Raw genomic sequence first — 22,648 nt, 5'->3', positions numbered from 1 at the left:
TGGGGTCCTATTACATGTGTCCTACTTAAGAGCTGATAAGATGATGTAAATTATGCATTTTGCCTTGCTCTGGCTTGCCTCCAATAATTATATTTTCAACAAGGTACCAAATAACTGTTTCTATGTTTTAGAAATATGCAAATTAAATGAAAGGTAAAGCTAAGATATGAAAAGATGTAAAATTAGTCTTAGTCCTTGAAAAATTTTAGTTTTCACGATTCTTCAAGGATAATCCAAATATGGAGCAAATAAATAGGAACTGTTGATTTTGATGGCTCAGTTATAAATGAGATAGGAAAAATATCCAAGTTGCCAAGCAGCCAAGGTTAATTTCAAATAATTCTAGTTAATTTTCTTTTTCATATCTTGAAAAAATAGTGGTTTTATGGTTATGAATAGAAATATTATGTTCAGAAAATACATAAAACTCTTTGCAATTCAATGGCTTGTAACAACAGCATCAATAAAAGACTTTTAAAAGTAAATTAAGCATTAGAGCAAAATCTATAAAACACCTAGGATTCAATTTAACAAGCAACAACAAGCACTATATGCCAAAAACTATGAAACTTTACAAAAGGGAAAGAAGAATACCTGAATGTATTATGAAATCTACCATGTCTCTGAAAGGGAAGAATTAATATTTTAAATATTTAAGTCTTCTGTACCTTCAGTGAATTGATAGGAAGTATAATTTCAAGAATGTGTCCAAATTGTTTGTTAATGTAAATTGATTCTGATATTCAGTTGAAAGAAATAAATATAGAAGAATAGAAGAATAGCCAAAAAAAAAAAAAAGAGCAAAGTAGAATTTGAAAAAGCAAAATGGTGGAAATACACTACACCAAATTTCCACACGTTATTTCAAAATTACAGTAAATATTTACAAATAAATCAGAACTTATGAAAGCACCAAGAAATAAATACATATTTCTATAGGAATTTAGTGATTAACTGTGGTAGGGAACAGATTGGTTATTTCCACAAATGATATTGGGGAAACTATGTATCTGGAAAATAGTTTAAAATTAGAATTTTATCTTACACCATTAAACAACTTAAACTGGGTATGTGGACTAAAGAAAATTTTAAAACCATAGAAGTACTGGAACAAAAAATAAAACAATTTTTTTCCCCAAATATGTGTTAGAAAATCTTTCTTTCTTTCTTTCTTTCTTTTTGTTTTTGTTTTTTGAGATGGAGTCTCGCTCTGTTGCCCAGGCTGGAGTGCAGTGATGCCATCTTGGCTCACTGCAAGCTCTTCCTCCTGAGTTCATCATTCTCCTGCCTCAGCCTCCTAAGTAGTTGGGACTACAGGTGCCCGCCACCACGGCCGGCTAATTTTTTTGTATTTTTAGTAGAGACGGGGTTTCACCGTGTTAGCCAGGATGGTCTCGATCTCTTGACCTCGTGATCCGCCCACCTCCGCCTCCCAAAGCGCTGGGATTACAGGCGTGAGCCACCGCGCCCGGCCCAGAAAATCTTTCTAAGGCATCGATGAAAGGTAGAACCTTAGTGGCAAAGATAATTTTGACAAAAATCAAAACCGAAACAAAAGTAAGAAACTTCTATATAGTAAAAGACTCTCATAAATAAAACTGGATAGTGCATTAGTTTATATTAATCTAAAAGCAAACACCGAGTCACAGTTGATGGTGGGGTATTTAGACCCCATGCTGGAGACAATGTGAAGAGAGAATATAAGAGGCTTAGGTAGGAAGAGTCTAATACTCTCAAGTAAATAGTTACAGGATAATTTCTGCCAGCCTGCTGGGAAGCCTTCCAGCCAAAGTCACACCTAAAGAACTGGCAATTCTCACTGGAATGAGCCTGCCTTTGTATTTCCTGCTGCTCAGCCATTGGCTAGGAGTAGCTCTTGAAAAGCATTCTATGGGAGAAAATGTGACAGTAGATCCACAGAAGCAATGCGGGGTGACCAAGAGTAGTCACTATGGCGCCCCACAGAGAATATCTGAGTGACATGTTTTCATTTTCATGCCCCCTCAAAAAATAAATAAAAAATAAAAAAAAAGAGAGAGAGAGAGAACTATAGATCATTAAGAAAAAGATAACCCAGTTGCAATGGGTAAGAATATAAGCAAATCTATATGTAAAACACATGTTTATGTCATTTAAAAATCCATGAAAATATACTTTTTTCATCCAAGAACGATAAATTCAAGAGTCAGTTAAGTACAAATGTTTACCTCTCAGACTAACAAAAACATTAAAAGATTTAAATTAGTCAGTGTCATTTGTGGACAGTAAGCAATTTTGAAGGGCAATTCTAAAAATTAATCTTACAATTCTTTTTACAGCGAAAGTTTTCCAGTGTAGCATTTATAATAGTAAGAATATTTAAGATTTCCTGAAAATCCAGCACTAAAAGAATGGCTAGGTAAAGTATTGGGAAAATAAGCTCAGTTTGCCACATTTTCCCCATCAATAAAAGAGCTACAATATTAATTCTCACATCATGGATTTTTTGTTAGGATTTATGTATTATATTTAAAGTGTTCAGAATATTAACCAGCATATATTATATGCCCAATATTTGGTAGCATTCATTAACATGATGGAATATTGTACAATTTTAAAAATCTGAGCTAATTAGCATATAGTACTTAAAAAGAGGAAATCCTTGATTTTTATTGCCTGAATAAAGCTAGTACCAGATAAATACTAATATGATATTTTAGTATAATCAAAAATTTAAGAGTGTTTGATTATATGTGCATATGTAAAGAAAAATATCTAAACAGCTATTCTATAAACTTTTAACAGTGACTCATTCTGGGGGATGAGCAGGTAATAGAGGCTAAGACTTTAATTATTTTACTCAGTAAATTTCTGTATTTGGAGTTGTTTGTTTTCATTAAAATAACACATTTTTATAATTTGATGAAATTAAGAAAAAGGATAAGATTAGAAAAATTACAGATAACATAGGACTACATGAAATATAATACATGTTCACATAAGGAACATGCCAAAACTAAAAATGGGTTCTGAAACTGAAAATTTCATTTAAAAATAGGTTAACGATGGCCCAGATATAATTTATCCAGCATTTTATTCATTCTTTTGAAGGGAATCTATATTTGGTTCTTGTTTTATATTTTATCCCCTGGGCTTAAAATTTTTAGGCATTGTATATATCTGGATCAATATAAGTATAAAAAACCGCAGTCTAAATAAGAAATTAGTGAGGTAGTCAAAAGTTAAAAGATGAATATAAATTCTGTAATCAAAAGTTTTAGCAATATCACCACACTATCTTTGGCATATGTTGTGTCTGTGTGCTTGTGCTAGGCTAACCAGTTTTACAAAAAAAAATGATTAGTGTAGAAACCAAATAGTCCCTCTCTTAATTTGAGAAGTTCTTCTTCAAGTCATTTGCTTTAAATGTATTAAGCTAATCATAGCTTCTTCCATTATGATCAATTTTGTTGTGTATATAATTTGAACTGGGAAAATAATAATATTACATTTATTTGGACACCATAATTAAAACATGAACCATTTATGACCCAAACTTAACCAACAAGCATACTTTCACAGGAATTTTGTAATTGGAAATTGTGGCAGAATCTCTTTTCTAGTTGCCAAGCCTTCACTGTATGAATCAAACCTGAATCCAGCCATGTTCCAATGTGTCATAGATACCCTGGTTTGAGTGGGATATAATGAAACCAGTATGGTTTTTTTTTTTTTTTTTTTTTTTTTTTTTGTGAGAAAAGGACAAGGGACAGAGATTTTAATGATACCGAAGTTCCTGGTTTGTTTCAGCTGAAATTTCTCCTGTGTTCTTTCATCTGCTTTGTTTATGAGTCAACAAATCTACCTCTTTTCTCTAAACAATTTTGAGTTGTATTTCTGTTGTTTGCAATCAAATGGTCATATACTGCATAGATGTGTGTAAATAGAGAAACTTACATATAATTACAAGGAGTTCTTCAGATCCTTGAAACGTATTATGGAATTCGGAATATGAATCACAGTCATAGTGATTACTCTGATTGTCTAGTTTTTTTTTCTCTGCTAAATAATATTATTGCCCAATATAAGAAAGAAACTAACATTCTTGACATCTCTCATCTCTCTCCAATATTGCACTGCTATTCTTATGGTTACCCTTGACTATGATGCTTGTCTTGAGCTGATTGTTTTTTTCAGCCATATAATCACATTTCTTTAGCTGTGTTTTGTGTTAGAAATTAGTCTCTCAGAGGGGAAGGAAAGAAGCAGATAGGCATATACAGAGGGGGAAAGAAGGAGAAAGTGTTGAGAGTAGCACAACTCTTAACCCTTCAGAAAATAGATTGGGAGCTGTAGGGTTGCTTGCTCTTTTACCAACGTTCAATCTATAGACCAAAACAAAGAAGCAAACAAAAACCATTCAGGTGAGTTAAAAACCTTTTGCATGCTGTTACCATAAGTTATTAGTTAAATTGTCAACCAAACTGTCTGTTGTTTCCTTTTATCTTTAGTTTTCAATGTTAATGAAAAGAAACTTTGTCCAGGAGCTGCAGTGTCCTTTGAGTTTCAGAAAATCCAAGAAAAAATAAAGGTAAATTCTTACTAGTAAGATATATATAACTTCCATTGATCTCATGGAACCAAAGGATGCCAAGGGAACATGCAATGTAAAATATCTCTTTTATCATAATTTGACAGATGAATATAAAGCATTTAAATAATCTCCTTTAATATGCAAAAAGAAAGTGTCTTTAATGCTCATTGTTATTTGAAAAATTAGCTTCTGAAAGGAAACAAGAATGAATTTTTATTAACTATGCCTTAGTTCAAGATAATTTGCTCCTTTGAATGCCCAAGTGAATGAAGGATTCTAGTTACTTATGTGCCTACATGCCTTTATATTCTTAGATTTCAATATTAAAACTCTACTAGTGTTATTCACAGTTACCATTTTTATAGTTTTTTGTTTGTTTGTTTGTTTTTTGTCTGGAGACAGAGTCTTACTCTGCTGCCCAGGCTGGAGTGCAGTGGTGCCATCTTGGCTCACTGCAACCTCCACCTTCCAGGCTCAAGAGATTCTCCTGCCTCAGCCTCCCAAGTAGCTGGGATTACAGACATGTGCCGCCATGCCCAGCTAATTCTTGTATTATTAGTAGAGACGGGGTTTCACCATGTTGGCCAGGCTGTTCTTGAACTCTTGACCTCAGGTGATCCACCCACCTCGGCCTCCCAAAGTGCTGGGATTACAGGTGTGAGCCACTGCGCTGGGCCTATAGTTACTTTTAGTTGTAAGTTGGGAGAAGACAATTCAAGTACTATTAGCAACAGGAAATAAAAGTTGACCTGAAGTTGACATTTTTTTCCTGAAATAATTGAATTGAAAGAAGGTCTTTGGGTAATTCCAATACTGTTGCAGTACTCAGTTTTTGCATAATGGAGAAAAAGGAGTTGAACTGTACATTCTTAAAGTTCCTTTTTAACTTCAAAATACTATGAAGTGATGATTCAAGATATACAGTTTAGCAACTGAATAATAATTGCTTCCATATTATTTAGAATGAACACAAATCAGTTGATCTTCTTTCGAAAGTGTAATTGCTGTAAGTGCCTTTGTCTTCCTATTGTTTAATGTAGATTCATGAAGTTGCTCTGACATAAATCTAACAAGTGACCTTAAATTAATGGAGTAAGCAGATCATTTGTGAAATCAAATTGGTAACCGAAATACTTCTTCCTCACAATCTTATGCAATCTTTATTTTTCCCTTTGCTTTCTTAGATTTTTAATGTAATTCATAGATTTATAAGAAATATATATGTGTATGTATATATATGTGTGTGTGTGTGTGTGTATAACATAATAAAATGAATAATGAAAATGTGCACATTGCCTTAACAAAGGAAGGGTTTCTACTTTTACTGGTGCCTTCTATTGAGGAGGCTTTAAAGGAGGGTTCAAACTGAAGCCTGATCAACTATATTCATTTTAAACCTGACTCACTGATTCTACTATGTTCTCTATTTTCTCTTGTTCCTTTGCATGCATGTTTAATATATCTGCAAATTAACATTTTAAATTCCATTCATCTTAAAATATTTTGCATTTTCTTCATCTTTTTCATATTCATATTATAAAATAAATTTAATAACAATCACTTATATCTTGATATTAGAATTTTGAAAATGATTTCAGTTAAAGTGATGAACACTTTTGGCTATGGGCATAAGAAAGAAAGTTCAACCAACTGTGCCCTACAATGATAAAGACTTAGTTTCTACATGGAACAAGAAGTTAGGAGTCTGGCAGTCTAGGGTTGCCTCAGTGATGATAGCAGGCACCTGGATGTCATTTATCTTTTACCTATCATCCTTTCAATCTCATAGGCATAGTGTCAGGGTTCCTGACTAGAAGCCAGAAGTTGAAAAGGCCAAAGAGAGCATAAAAACTGAATATGTTCTTTGGTCAAAAATTTCCAGAAAGCCCCACTAGGTGACTCTTGCATTTAATTGGCCAGAGTTGTTTGCCGTGGGCAACAATCAATAAGGGTGTTTGGAAGATGACCAATTTTATCTAGGCTTATTTCCCCACCCCCAATACCCTCAGATTAATATGAAAGAATATGAGGATGAATATTGGGTAGGCAATTAGAAGCATATACTGCAACCCTACTGTCAGTGCCAAGGAAAATGTAGTATCTTATTCTCAAAGAAGGACTCCAAATATAATTGACTGGTCATGAGTCACTGAAAAGGCAGATTCTCTCACATTGGTGGTGAAGTTTTCATTTGTGATTTAACTTTCCTTAATGTGCACAGTGATGCTCTTCTCTACTTCCTCTTTTGGGACATGGGTTTATGGTGAATAGAGAGGGCTGAATTTAGAGAAATGGTGAAAAATATATAAAATATAAAAACAGGATTGATTATATATAGACTTTTTGATAAAACTTACCACTTTGAGCTGTGGTTGTTTGTTTTGTGATGGTAGCTGGCCTTGTAGAGTTTGTAGACATTTCCCAGGATTCTACCAGTGAGATATAGTTGTCACAAAAACTTGGTGACATAATAAGGGTTAGTTTTTATTAACCGTACCTTACAGGTGAAGAAACTGATATTAGAGAGGTTAAGTGACTCACACAAGATGCTAGTCATTATAGAGCATGAAAGTTATAAAATTCCTTATAAATTAACTTAAGAATTCACTAAGGATTTAAGATTTCATTTGAGAAATTACGAGTCCCTATTATAATTGAAGGAATAAATACCGCAAGTGTTCATATTATGAGCAAAAAAGGAGTTATGTTTTAAATGCAATGTAGGATTGAGAGATAGGCCATTACAAAAGTGAGCAAATAAAGATTACAGAGGTCTGATGTCTCTCGATATCTGATGTGTTATTCAGAAATGCAAGCCACTATGTGGATAAACTATAAACAGTTTAATAATGAATAATAATTTCAAACAATTTAATAATAAATAAGGAATAATTGTAGTAAAACTCTGGGCTAAAATCCCTATGTTTGTTTTTTGAAGCTTGTTGATTGAAGCTAGATATCCATTTCTCTTTTCATTAAAAACCCCAGTGATTTGGAAGCAATTATAAAAATCATTATAAGAAAAAAATAATGTTGAGCCTTTATTATGAATCAGGATGGGAACCCAGGTCTTCTTGAGGACAAAGTCCTTATTTTTAATCTTCATAACAATCCTACATGATAAACATTGTTATTAGGGTGAAAAGGCTGAAAGTTGGGAGATAAATTCATTTGTCTAAGGCAGAATTAGTATTCTGCCTCAAATCTATTACAAATAATCCTTTGAGTTTTTTATATTTTGCTTTGCAGGCTTCCTATGATGTTACTGCTTTCACTAAAATACAGGTATCATCGTCATCCTTATCATTTTGTCTTCTTCCTTGGCTCCTTCTCTTCCAAGTCTCTGAGTAAACTGAAACGACCTTGTCAACTACTTAAACATGCTGTTGTAGAAGCCTACCTGTTTTAAATTGTCCCTTCTAAACACTTGTATAGATTTTCTGCAAACTTTTTTTCTTTCTGCTTCACAATCGCTGTTTATTGGCTTCTTTCCAAATATCTATTGTGAATATGAGAGAAACAAGTTCTTCAAAAGTTCATTTTCAGCACAGAAATGCGTGGCATGGCCTGGAATCAACTCACTCCTCTCATCCTCCACAGTTTGCTTGTACTTGTCCCATAATGCATTTTTCACAGAATGATATGCTTACGGTTCTGCAATGTAAAAACACCTGTTTGAGGTAGAGATCATTTAGTTGGAAGATACAGAAATCACTCATCCAAGTTCAAATTTATTAGGTGAGCACAGCTTTCTTTAAATTCACGTTGAGAAGACAGATTTTTGCCAGCCTTTTTACAAGGTTAAATGAGGTAAAGAAAGAGAGTCAGGGGCTGAGACATCACTCTCAATAACTGCATGGACTCTCTTCTCTCCCCATCTCCCAGGTGCTTTCTTCTTCTTCCCTGTTTCAGTTAATTTTTTTCTGTGAATACATGGCTGAATAGGTTTGCCTGCTCCAAATCCACAAAACTTCCGAGTTCCACAACACATGCCCTTTAGACTATGTTTTTTGGATCTCTTTAATCAAATCCTCAGAACACAAAATGTAGCAAATAAGACGTTCTGTTTTCCCGTAGATCAGCTTTCCCCTCCTAGATAATCAGCTGTGATCATGTTGTAGGTGGTGCCAATAGAGTTCATTAGCAGGAAATGCTGGTGAGGAGTATTTTCTTCAATAGAGTCCCTATATTGGGAAGTGCTGGTGAGGAGTAGTTTTAAGGCAGAGGTGTGGTTTTGACAGACCCTCCAAATGTTACCTACTTTGAACACTTAAAGAAGAGGAGCAATGAAAGAGGAAATGTCTGGCAAGGGAAACTGAGCAATATAGTTCATCCGTATTCTTTACCATAGCAAGAATTAGTTCTCATATGCTGCCTACCAGTCATCATTTCTTTATATGTCATATTCCTAGCAACAATCCTGTGAATTAGATATTATTTTTATTCTCATTTTTATAGAGAAGGAAACAGGAACATTTATTATGCCCATTATATGGAGAAGAAAAGTTACCTGGAAGGAAAGTTAAGGAAATACACTCTCATAAAGACCAAATTATTTACCAAGAGTTAAACATCTGGCAAGTGGAACAAGGATTTGAACCTAGGCAGTTTGGCTCCTTTAGTTCACACATATAAACATTATATTTCATTGCCTTCCATAATTGTTTTTAAGGAAAGTAATTCTTACTAAAGTTGCTACTTACAATTCAATGCAGAAAAGTGAATTATCTTCTGCTGATTCACCTGCAAAATGGGAGCAAGAAACTCAGACTTGCCAGATAATAGGCAGGTCGTGGAACAGAGCTCTGATGATACTATTCAATCTTAAAATATTTGGTTCACTATTTTGATATTTTATTGTAAGATCTTTATATGTAGACCTTAAAATATGGGGACGTAATATCAGGCAGAAAGATAGAAAGACTTACAAGCAAAAATTGTGAAACTGTATTTTTCAGAGACCTGAGGTTGATGGTGACTGAAAGCCACTTGAGTCTGATGGCTCTTTGGTGGTCTATATGATACATGCTGGTGGTTTCTTTCTTGTTAGTCCTGGACAAATGTTCAAACCACTAAAACCACTTAGGAAATTAGTACTTGTAATAGGAAAAGTCAGTTCCTTATCTTGGGAATCCGCTACCAGGGAAAATAATTATCTCAAAAAGCTACGTCCACTGAAAACTTCAAAAGGGGAAAAAATAACCCATAAAATTCCTTTGCTAAAGCATCATCTTCCTTAAGAGATTTCTATTTCAACTGGAAAAATGAAATAAAGTAATACAATGCAGATTAACTACAAGGACAAACAAGCCCCTAACCCATGTTTATCTCTTTTTGTGTTTCAGAAAGTTATGACTATTCAAGTTAATTACTGCATTCTTAAAATACTGATCTATAGCATCTTACCTTTTAATGACTTATAATACTTAAAATTAAAACAAATGAAATTTGTTATTGTCATTTACCTTGTTTTTGTTTAGAAAATATGTCATAGGAACATATTTTTATAGTTAGAATTCTACTCACTGTAGTTTATCAAAAACAAGCTAGAAATCAAGCTGTCATCACATTGATATAAGAAAATAATGTATCCATTATGTAATCAGTATTTTGCTATGAGTTGATTGGTTCTCATTCTGTGCTTGAAAATCATTAGCTTTAGTTCAAGAAATATAGAGTGATTCATAGAAGTTATATGATGGTTCTTCATATATCCTAATAAAATCTCGTAAGACACAATCAATAGGTTGCAACCTCCATAACAAGATTTAAGAACACTAAGCAATAACATGATTTAAAAAAAACACACATTTAAATGTGTTCCATCATTTATGTACTCAGTATTAAGTGATTCCTCTTATACTTTAAAATTCTCTTCTCAATTTGGATTGTTAAAACCTGAAATTTCAGTGGGCCACTCAATTTGAAACAAATTACCTTATAAATTTTGAAGGTTATTCCAGTAGCACAATTCTGATTAATTTAAGTAAATTTAGAAAAATAATATGCATATGAAAAACATTCAAAGTCCACATGTTTGAACTTCTTGAACTATTTTATTTCTGGAAATACTTAGTTATCATTTTGTTCCTTTTAAGACTGAAAACACTTTTTGTGAAAAGAGACATAATGTACAAAGTTAAACTAATCTTTATAATTTTTATTATAGAAGGAAGATCTGAAGATACTTAAAAAATATACAAAGACTTTCTTCCAAATTTAATTTTGTGAAACTTTTCAAACAAGGTGAAACACTCATTTTTCCATCTTTTGCTATGTAATACATACAGTAGGGTTGAAGGCATGGTGAAAAATAGAGAAAGTATTATGCAAGTAGGCTTATTGCAAACATTTGCATATAGTAATTAATTTAAGCTCTCATAAATTCTATATCGATTCTACTGGGAACAATGTGAATATTTTAGAATAAAAACACTTACCAACTCTCAGAATGTATTACAAATAAAATTTAAACTTGCATCTATTTAAAACATAATTCTGATAATTAAATCATTCTCTTTTAGAAAATACAGACACAAAAAGTTTAATATAGCCCTAGATATTACAGTACATACTGTCTTTTTCTTTGCATATGTAACATAATGATGAATGGATACACACACACACACCTGTTGCATTTTAATTAACATTATAAGGGAACATGTTTCATTCTTCAAATAATTTTGAGAAATGCATTCAACCAACTGTAATTTTCTGCAGTATGAATTCAACTATTCAGAAGCACTTTGATATCTGGACCCACAAATTTTCATTGCTTTTCTTACTTATTAACTAGCACTTTCTACAAAAAGGAGAAACCCTGTTTCCTTTGTTTTAACATGCACCAATGCTGCTTATTTCTGGTACTGCATTGTGCTTCCTCTCTAGGGATTTGTGGAAATTTGAACTTGAGAGTGACAATTTAGAGTATCTGGCAGAAGAAATGTGTAAGCAGCAAAACATTCAAACTGTTACCTGGCTGCTTCTAACAACTTATGCTCAAATGTGTGAGCAAATAAATCATTTAAATCTAAATAAAAGGGAAGTAGCATGTTCAAGTTTGGAAACTTTGTAGCCTGGGCATGTGGTAGGAAAGAAACACCTATTTTTAGTGAAGGAATTCAAGCTAGCTGCATAAATAAAAAGGAGCCTAGTGCTAATATCTAAGACAATGGGGAAAATGCCTCAAAGGCATTTCAGAGATATTCATGACAGCTCACCCATCACAGACCCAGAAGTCTAGAAGGAAAGAATGGTTTTCCCACCACTCTGTGCAGCCTCCAGACACTGTTTCCTGTGTCCCAGCCACTCCAGCTCTAGCCAGTCCTAAAATGTGCCCAGGTGCAGTTGGATCACTGTTTCAGAGGCTGCAAGCCATAAGCCTCGGCAGCTTCCATATGGTGTTAAGCCTGTCGGGGCACAGAGTGCAAGAGATGTGGCTTGGGAGCCTCCACCTAGATTTCAGATGTATGGAAAGGCATGGATGCCCAGGCAGAAACCTGCTGTAGGGGTGAAGCCCTCTCAGAAAACCTCTATTAAGGCAGTGCAGAGGGAAAATCTAGGGTTGGAGGCCCCACGCAGAGTCCCCACTGGGGTATTGCCTAGTGGAGTCCTGAGAAGAGGGCCACCATTCTCCAGACCCCAGAATGGTAGAGCTACCAGCAGCTTGCACCCTGAATCTGCAAAAGCTGCAAGCACTCAACACAAGCCCACAAGAGCAGTTACAGGGGTTGAACTTTGCAAAGCCACAGGGGCGGAGCTGCCGGAGCCAATCGCTTGCACCCACGTGCCCTGGATGGGAGACATGGATTCGAGTGAGATTATTTTGGAGCGTTGAGATTTAATGACTGCCCTGCTGAGTTTCAGACTTGTGAGGGGTCTGTAGTCTCTTTCTTTTGGCCAATTTTCCCTTTTGAAACAGGAGTATTTACCCAATGCCTATAACCCCATTTTATCTTGGAAGTAACTAACTTGTTTTTGATTTTACATGCTCATAGGTGGAAGGGACTTGCCTTTTCTCAGATGATACTTTCAACCTTGGAGTTTTGACTTAATGCTGCAATGAATTAAGAATTTGGGGAATTGTTGAGAAGGCATGATTGTATTTTCCAATGTGAAAAGATGAATTTGGAGGGGCCAGAGGCAGAATGATATTGTCTGGATCTATATTCCCACCAAATCTCTTGTAGAATTGTAATCCCCAGTGTTGGAGGTTGGGTCTAGTGGGAGGTCATTGAATCAGGGGGACAGAGTTCTCATAAATGGGTTGGCATCATTTCTTCTATGTGGTTCTCATGATAGTACGTGAGTGAGTTATCATGAGATCTGGTTGTTTAAAAGTATGTAGCACCTCCCTCACTCATTCTTGCTCCTGCTCCAGCCATGTAAGATGTGCCTGTTTCCCCTTTACTTTCCACCGTGATTGTAATTTTTCTGAGGCCTCCCTAGAAGCTGAGCAGATGCCAGCCTCATGCTTCCTATACAGCATTCATAACTGTGAGCCAATTAAATCTCCTTTCTTTATAAATTACCCAGTCTCAGGTATTTCTTTAGAGCATTGTGAGAACTGACTAATACACTCTCACAACATATGTTTGGTTAAATCCACTAAAATTGGTACCTCCTTCCCACAACACTAAAAGACACACAGGTTGTATTTTAAACAAATGTATGACAGGCCTGTATTGCTTTTGATCTTATCTATCTGACACCTGTTATTGGTAACATGGAAATGCAAGAAAGAATGGAAAATGTAACTGGTATCTCTTTTGTCTGGATGAGTCTAATCTAAATTTTTTTGTATCATGAGTGTGCATAGGACTTACTAAGCAGAGATTGAGGGTGGAGCCTTTGGAAATAAAAATATCTAAGAAGCACTGATTTAACTCCTCTAAAAGAATTTTGCTTTCAATAATAATTTTTGCATTTCTACTAGAGTAAAAATGAAAAAAGTGTTTATATTTATATGAAAGAAATTAAATTTAAAATATTTTATTTATTTGATTACATTTATTAATATTAATATGTAGACATTTTATTTTCAGAAGCAGTATCATAATTGTCACTAAGGATTTTTAAAAATATCATTTAACTAAAACTTCAATTTAAGTAATGTATTTGTGTTATCATTAAGAAAAAACACATTTAAGTAAAATATTATTTAGAAAATGTGATAATTAGAAAACAATGGCATTTAATATAAATGAAAACATATATCCAATCTATGTTAAAATTATGCTGATATCTTTTCAGGATAATCATATTTTCAAATTAATTTATAAACTATGTAACTTTGTAACCTATATTTGCTTGCTTGAAAACTATATATGTCCCAGTGTGTAATGGTGTATATGTGTGTAAAATCCCCCCACATTCCAGGCTCTTTAAGGTGTGGTGTGAAAGCTTTTGATTACCCAAATAGACAAAAGATTTAAAAACAAAAAAGTAATAGAAATGTAATCCAGTCTTCAGTAATGAACCCTTCAAAAAAAATATTGAGTTCCTGGTTCAGTGACACTTCTATAACACACCGTGTTTTTCTTTTCTTTCCAACTTTTCCACATCTTGTAGTTGCTCAAGAAACTATAACTGCCTCAAATCTTATATTTCCAATCTGTATTTCCAGAAATATCTGGTCTGAGTCTCTTCATACCCATTCAGATTTCTTCCCACTTCTCCAGTGTGGTGTATGTTTGTCTATTTCTGTATAAGGAACAGAAGTCTGAGAAACAGAAGCAAAAGCCTTAGAGCTCAGGATAGGAGCATAAAGGCTAAGCAAGGAAAAGTGTAACCTCATTTGCTCTGAGTGTGGATGCCCGGGTGTGCTTGCATGTGTGTGTCTGAGAAAGTGAGGCCTGATGCAGTAGGAGATTTTTTGGGGAGAACACACTAGCATTAATATATCCTTTCCCCATTATCACATTCATATTCATATTGTATATCCACATTATATTCATGTTTTAATAGCTTAGATGAAACTCTGCTAAGTAGTCTGATTAATCCTAGGGATAGTGAAAAGTACTCGTAAAGATGACTCTTCGGCTGGGCGCGGTGGTTCACACCTGTAATCCCAGGACTTTGGGAGGCCGAGGAGGGTGGATCACGAGGTCAGGAGTTCAAGACCAGCCTGACCAAGATGGTGAAACCTCATCTCTACTAAAAATACAAAAACTATCCAGGCGCGGTGGCAGGCACGTGTAATCCCAGCTACTCGGGAGGCTGAGGCAGGAGAATCGCTTGAACCCGGGCGGTAGAAGTTGCAGTGAGCCAACATCATGCCACTGCCCTCCTGCCTGGGTGACCGAGTAAGACTCTGTAAAACAAAAAACAAAAAAAGATGACTCCTCACTAGGCACACCATTTTACTACCCTCTCTAGAAGACTTCCTGTGAGAAGTCTTGATGCTTTCCTTTTCTGAACATAGCAGTCTTTTTTTTAATTTCTTATTTTAAATTGTTTAAAACATTAATGTGGTAATTTTTTTTTCTTAGAATATGAGAGTGGGGGCTTAGGAAAACACACACATTGTAATTTAAAGAACAAAAATTTCCTAAATTTAAATAAGACACATATATTCCTACAGATATCTTTAAAAATACATTACATGTAATATGTTTTAAAATTAGTACTATTCTTTAAGTTATGATAAGATAAGAGGATTCCAGGAAATAGAAGGACCTCAATCACTCATTAGCCATATAAAAATGAACACTTCACACAAACTGCATTTAGTTGTTTCATCTGTAAAAATGAGGTTAAAACTTACGGTGCTGGGTCAAATCATCTTGTGTGCTATAATATTGATACATGAAAAACAAGATGTGTATATACTTGTTACTTTTATTTACTTTACATATCGTTCCATAAAAAGAAATAGTATAATTGGCTTATCATCTGTAAGTTTATAATGCTAAAAATAATAGTCTCATAATGATATGGTTGTCATCTTGTTTTCCTTTTACTTACATTTTTAACATTTTACAATTTTAAATATTTAAAATGTACATAAAGCCTGTGGTATATATAAAGGCCACTATATTTTTTTCCTGCCACAATATCATTACATATAAACCAAAGGTCGGGAGTAAGTACCTGAAAAACATATTGTCCTTCACTAAAAAAGGGGGAAATCTTATGGAGGTTCCAAATAGTTGACCCCTTATTATAAAAGAGAGGCACTGGCTTTACATAATTTTTTTCTCCTGTTTATAGATGAAGGTAGGAAATAAGAAAATGTGAATAGATAAAAATAATTTTACAAAAGGGAAAATTAGCAAATATAGTAAATTATGGTAATAGAACAGACTTGTAAATAATTTAGTTAGAAAAAATCATAAATTTGTTTAACTCTTTTCTATATAATTTTTGATTATATCATTAGATATGTGGAACACAAGATGATTGGTCATATGAAAATAAATAAAATACAAAATGACTCAAATAGAAATATAAATTAAAAGACCCACTTTAAAAATTGAAACTTAGTTCTCTGAGACGGTCCCACAATTATCCTTTGGCACCGGCTCTACTCTATAGTCTCCATTCACTGAATAGGAATTTCTCACTTTCAGCTAAATTTTTCGGAAGCCTCTGAACTTAGGAAAGAAAAGGCATACAGAGTTAAGAAAACGATTTGTATAACACTGAATATTGGTTAAGCACAGAGACTCAGGAGCCAGACTGCCTGGATACAAGTCTCAGCTCTAATATTTAACCGTTCCATGACCTCCAATCAACCTGTTTTCTGAAAATGAGTTTTGTTAGATGCAAAATTTAGATGGCATAGTGTTAATACACCTGAAAAAGTTAGGCCAGGCATGCAGCTCACACCTGTAATCCTAACACTTTGGGATGCAGAGGGTGGCAGATCGCTCGAGCTCAGGAGTTCAAGACCAGCCTGGGCAACATGGCGAAACCTCATCTCTACTAAACATGCAAAAAACAATAAGCCAGGTGTGGTGGCTCTCGCCTGTGGTCCCAGCTTCTTAGGAGGCTGAGGTGGGATAATTGCTTGACTTCGAGAGGTGGTTGCAGTGAGCTGAGATTGTGATACAGGCTGGGCAACAGAGCAAGACCCTGTTTCAAAAGAAGGGGTGGAGGGAAGTTAGAACAATCTCTGGAGTGTGCATGTGTGGTTGCTATCATCCTTATGTCTCATTTATAAAAGAAAATGCAACATTACTCAGTATCAGAAGAAGCAAAATTTACAGTGTCTTAAGTAGATATGTATAGGTAAGATCTTGAATGTGATAACTGTTTATTAATTTTTAAGGTCAAAATAGGCAAAAAACTCATAGGAACTATTAAATTTTCTCTTTAAAATTATATTTAATATTTTACTTTGATTAAGGAACTTGCCCTGATCTTTGTTAATTTATATGATGTTATTTTAAAAACTATTTGCATAAAATAACTTGGTAGATAGAATATTTTAAATCCATCCCTCATTGCTCTCTTTCTTTCCAAAGGATATGCATAATGCAGTTATTTTAGGGTTATTATTGAAAACTTAGCTTTACCTTTAACATCCTTATTATAGGCTTTTAAAAATAATTAAAAGAATGGATATATATAGTTTTGATTGCTAATTCAGTTTCTAAAGTTGATGGGAATTACTATACCTTACAAATTATGGTTGTGTTTCATCAACTAATAAATACTAGCCATCATTATTGTAATTTTGCAATCAGATACCATAAAACAGTGACAAACATGTTTTTTAAAAACTGAGGTAGTTTTATAATTTTGATGAATCTGTATCATATATTTTTATTTTTATTGAGACAGTGTCACGCTCTGTCACCCAGGCTGGAGTGCAGTGGCATAATCTTGGCTCACTGCAACTTCCATCTCCCAGGTTCTAGCAATTCTCCCTCCTCAGCCTCTCAAGTGGCTGGGATTACAGGTGTGCGCCACCATGCCCAGCTAACATTTTTTTAGTAGAGAAGGTGTTTCACCATATTGGCCAGGCTGGTCTCAAACTCCTGACCTCCTCTGCCCACCTTGGCCTCCCAAAGTGCTGGGATTACAGGCGTGAGCCACCGCGCCTGGCCTTGGATCATTTAATATACAGAGACATGACACCTCTGTGGAAAATATTAATACATTGTTATTTAGCTATACATGAAGGTCATGTATAAGTCAGGGTTCTCCAGAGAAACAGACCCAAGAGAATATGTATAGATATGTAAGTGGCGAATTAATATGAGAATTGCTTCATGCAACTATGGAGGCCAAGAAGTTCCACAATCTGCCATCTGCAAGGTGGAGAACCAGGGAAGTTGGTGGTATAATTCAGTCTGAGACCAAAGGGGTGAGAACTTGAGGAGCCCAATGGTGTGCCTCCTGGAGTCTGAAGGCTTAACCAGGAGCTCCAATGTCTGAGCACAAGAGAAAATGGGTGTCAGCTTCCCAGATCAAGGAAAGATGGGGAGAGGTAGAGAGTAACAGAGGGAGGGAGAGAGAAAGACAGAAATAGAGTGAGATAGAGAGAGCAAGACAGAATTCACCTTTCCTCTGCCTTTTTGTTCTATTCTGGCCCCCACTGGATTAGATGATTCCTGTCCACACTGGTGAGTATGATCTTCTTAACTCAGTCTACTGATTCAAATACTACTGTCTTCCAAATATACCTTTGCAGACTTACCCAGAAATAATGCTTCTCTATTTATCTGGGCATCTCTTAGTCCACTGAAGTTGACACATGAACTTTACCATCACAGCTGTACCATCAAACATTTTCTTGTGGTATGTTACAGTTATTTTCATTTTGAGTAATAATAATGTTTTGGCACTTCTCTACACATTAGACAATATATTTGTTAAACCTAGGACAATTGAATAAAAATTATATCTTTGAATACTATGAATTTAAAAAACAGAAATGGATGATTCAGAGTATCAGGAGGAAATGGAAGGCACAATCAGGAATCATTTTAAAGAGAATTTCGATAAGGGATACTTTCTAGAAGGGTAGCTGTGTTATGGGATCCCATGAGGGATACTGGCTATTTTAATTGCTAGCCATAGTGGAAAGCTGAAGGAGCAACAGATACAATGGGGATATTGGGGGAAAATATGAGGTAGAGCTATGGAAAGGTGGTGACAAGAAAAGACTGTGTAGCCACTGCCAGAAAGAACCACAGTGCCAAGTTATGCTGCAAATGGGGGAAACATGGCCCTGCTTTTTCTCTCCTCCTGCCCCTTTCTGGTGCCTCTCATTGACAAAACCCAAACAGAAACCAGGGGACAAGGGAAACCAGGTTAGTACAATACCTAAAGATTAATCCATAGAGCACAGAAAAGAGCACATGAGGGGTCTGAGGTTGGGATTAAATAGAGGGGCAGGGATAGAAAGCTACCAGCACAATAAGTGAGAAAATAAATGTGTACATTATGTCAAAACCTGAAGCCTTTAGATTGTGTGTAATTTAGCATTAGCTACATCATGATTTCAGTGGAATGACATCTATACCTTGTACCTACAACCATCTCAAATATGACTTCATTAAGACTCCTTAAATTGGATAATTATATAGACAACTCATTGAATAATTATATAGTCAACTCACTTTTTCCATTGTGTTGTAAGGTTTCCTGAGCAGCTTTCTTGGTATCCAACCATCTATAAGAAATTGGGTAAATTATACCCATTTAGTCAATTGAAATTGTACTTCCATTGACTAAATAAAAGTTAAAGAGCAGGAGATTATCTTTTCCCACATGAAATAAGTATGAGCAGTTTGATTCATTAAGTACATGGTTTTCTGCATGATTTTATGTTATCAATATAAAATTGTTTCTACTTGTAGTTTCTGCCAAGTGGCATAACTTTAGAACGAAAAGTGGAGAAAAGGGAGAATAAATTAAGTGAACACCATTACTGCAGACTGAGGCAAAGCAAACAAACAAACAATAGTCAAAGTGTGAGAGTCTACTGCTGACAAATCCAACCTACCTACAGATTGGGCTTCGAACACCTCCTAGATCCTTGTCTCCTTTCCAACAGGTTACTTGCTCTCCCTGGCTTCCTTATTACCCTTTTATCTCTTTATTCCATTCCACACTATGGAATTATCTCTTTATTCAATTCCACAATATGGAATTATCTCTTTATTCAATTCCACAATATGGAGTGCTGTATAATTAGGAAATTTCCTCATGATGCTCTCAAAACATTTAAATAACATACTAGAACAGGAAATTATTGCTGTGTAGTTGCTATTTATGTATTGCAAATTCTAATTTAAAAACTGAGTCAGGAAGGAAATTACTTATTTCCCTCAAAAATCCAAAATACAAATGTAAATTTTGAGATTTCTTCTCCTTACAGCAGGCTGTTAAAATTAATTATAAGCCTATATATAACAAAGCTAAATGTAGATTTGATAAATAAAGAAATGTGTTAAAATAAAGGGAACCTCAAAGCAACTGATATTCAGGACCATGCTTTGTTGGCCCAATTTCACTGTCCCTTTTTGGTTATTTTTATCTTACATTTGTTATGGTTGTTTTAAACACGTGGTCCACTGACAACAACCAATTCAGATAGGTTACTGATTTTTAAGAGTAAATATATGGCAATAACTTAAAGCGGACATTTGCATCTGCCTTTTTATTGAAGAAGGAGAAATAAATTATAATGTTACAGGAAGTGTAGCTAGGTAGTTAGATAATAAAATTTTCTTAACTCCTTAAGCTTGGTGCAATCACCTTCAAGTAAGATATCTCAATCCAATTCTCAGATGTAATTAATAATAAAATCTCTACAATAAGCTAATCCATTGAACATTTGTGATATTATTATGTGGGGAGGAGGTAGGAGGAAGGGGATTGAGTATAACACTGATTCTTCCATTGTTTAAAATATTCTTTGTTTTCCAGAGGACACCAAAGGATAGTTGTACAGGAGCAAGAGTAAATCAGCCCCAGGGAGCACTGTCTCTGTGAGATCCCAGCCTGGAGCTGAAGTAGAGAAGAGTTTCAAGTTGCTGAACACCCCCATGCAGCAGTAAAAAGATATAAGATATCGACACGCTCAGCTGCATCTTGTTAAAAGCTTCCTGCGGGTTGGCAGAATGAAATCTTTACTTAAAACACACAAACTATTGTCAAGGGAAAGATGGAAAAGAGAATACAGTAAAAGGGCCAAATGCTTTGCTTAACCCACCAGAAGCAGTAGAAAGGGAGAGGTGGTCACGTTGTCTTTGCAACAACAACAACAGAAAAGGTGACTAACACAACCACATCAGCCTCCATCTGCTCTTCCCATGGTTTCAAGATGCATTATTTCTTTTATTATTAATTACTTGTGTTTCTGAGGGAGGACAAATATATTATTGTGACTAGCAAGAGAGGAAATCATTTCTGCTTCTACTTGGCATTAAGTACAGTAGTGTATGTAATGACTGAGGGATGGCAGGAAACAGAGCGGCATCATTGAGACCAGCCTCCCTCCTACCAATCCACTCCAACTCGCCCTTGGTAGTCAGAGGCTGCCTAACAGAAAGTTCATGTAAAACCATTATTGAACACTGACAGGAAGGAACTGAGACAGGAGTGAGTGGTGTGTATTTGTGCAGAAAGGGAGAAGGAGGGAGGGAGAGAGAGAGAATATGAGTCAGTCATCATCATCTTGGGGAGACAGCACCGTAAGAGGGGCAAGTGCTTTGTATAATTACAAAAATATGTACACATGCACACACACTTGCACATATGGTGTAATTTTTTTTCGTTCATATCTTGTCATTTCCAAGAACCTTTTTAAGTGATGATGACTGTTTGTGCATGGGAACCTTCTTGGATGGGTAGGCTCCGTGGCTTTAGGGAGGCTGAGCAGGGAACCCGGCAGCGCGTGGGTTCAGGAGAAGGGTCCCTTTTAAAGAGCAAAGGGACACAGCAAGCAGTGGAGAAGGTATGAAAAGAAAAAGGTGAAGGGACCCTGGGGAAAATTCCACCTATAGTGACTAAGCTTTATTTCTCTTCGGGAGAAAGTGACATTTCTGCGATTAGATCATTGACATATAAGGAAAGTAGATGGATAACTGGTTTTTCGTTGTTCTTTTTTTATTTGTTTTCTTCTACAGTGCTTACAGAACCTTTGACCAGATGGTACCTGGAATGCTCTGTGTTGCATATTACAAACAGGATAATTATTTTGGCTTTTTAGAAAACGCACCGACATGGTGACATTGCTCTCTGTTTATCAAGAGACAGAGCATTTGTTGCCTATAGCTGTATGCTCTGATGAGACATGAAAGATAGTAAAATGACAAAAAGCTTCCTGCTGTTTTTCTCTCATCCTGCCCCTTCTTCTCCCCCCAGCTCCAAACCTTATTTCTAGTTTCGCTGGGGGTCTAAGTTCCTCCTCCCCTGTCTCCCGAGTCTGTGGTACACCACATCTGATGCACTCCGATACCCCACTCTACCTTGGGGTAAGGAGGAGGTGGGGAAGAATCCGCTCCCTGCATCCATGTCCTCTCCTCTGCAGCGAGGCATATTCTCAGCAACTCTTGTACAGGTTTTCCCTTCTCAGCTACCACCTTGGCAGAGCTCTATCCCTCCCTCAAGCCCAGCCAGACTGCCAAGCGCCCCGACTGAAAACTCCATCCAGCTCAGCCGAAGTACACCCCCTCCGCCAAGCAACCCCTGTGCCCCTGCCCTTCACCTCCCTAAGTCTGCTCTTCATAAGCATCGATTCCATTGCAAATCAAATGTACGTCCCCCAGCTATTAACACCCACTACCCCTTAGGTGTTACCGACAGCCTCCCTCGGAAAATAATAATAATAATAATAACCGAAAGCACGCGAACACCTGAAGAAGCACAGATCGGGATCCGCATCTGGACCAGTCCTCTGTGGCTATAGTGATGGGGAATAGCCTGTGCCTGACATATCCTCCTGTTCCCGCGCGAACCGCTTTACCCTGGATCCCTGGAATCGTGCCTAGGCACCCGGGCGGCGGGGTCCGCCCAGGCCGCGTCAGGCAGCTCTGGGCCGGTGGGTGCCGGGTCTCCCCTCCTCCCGCCCCATCTGGCGCGCCCGCAGCGCCGCCGCCGCCGCCGCTTCTCTCCCCA

At 36.1% G+C, this 22,648-nt stretch overlaps 1 long non-coding RNA gene across 1 annotated transcript, besides 1 other annotated feature; it reads right to left on the bottom strand.

Annotated features, from left to right (window-relative positions):
• Positions 1,429-1,930: an enhancer, noted in NCBI's record as "H3K4me1 hESC enhancer chr9:10633883-10634384 (GRCh37/hg19 assembly coordinates)". NCBI's record gives its function as "activates a minimal SCP1, AML or CMV promoter by ChIP-STARR-seq in naive H9 embryonic stem cells {active_cell/tissue: H9 hESC(naive)}" and the evidence as "EXISTENCE:reporter gene assay evidence [ECO:0000049][PMID:30033119]".
• On the bottom strand, positions 15,393-22,607 carry PTPRD-DT (PTPRD divergent transcript). Its single transcript, NR_110696.1, has 3 exons — positions 22,387-22,607; positions 19,144-19,196; positions 15,393-17,952 (listed from the first exon to the last, which is right to left on the bottom strand). It is a non-coding gene; the product is annotated as a PTPRD divergent transcript (long non-coding RNA).

This window comes from Homo sapiens, chromosome 9, assembly GCF_000001405.40.
Source record: "Homo sapiens chromosome 9, GRCh38.p14 Primary Assembly".
Taxonomy (NCBI): Eukaryota; Metazoa; Chordata; class Mammalia; order Primates; family Hominidae; genus Homo; species Homo sapiens.
Note: the sequence above shows the minus strand (reverse complement) of the source record. Positions and strands in the feature narration are given on the sequence as shown.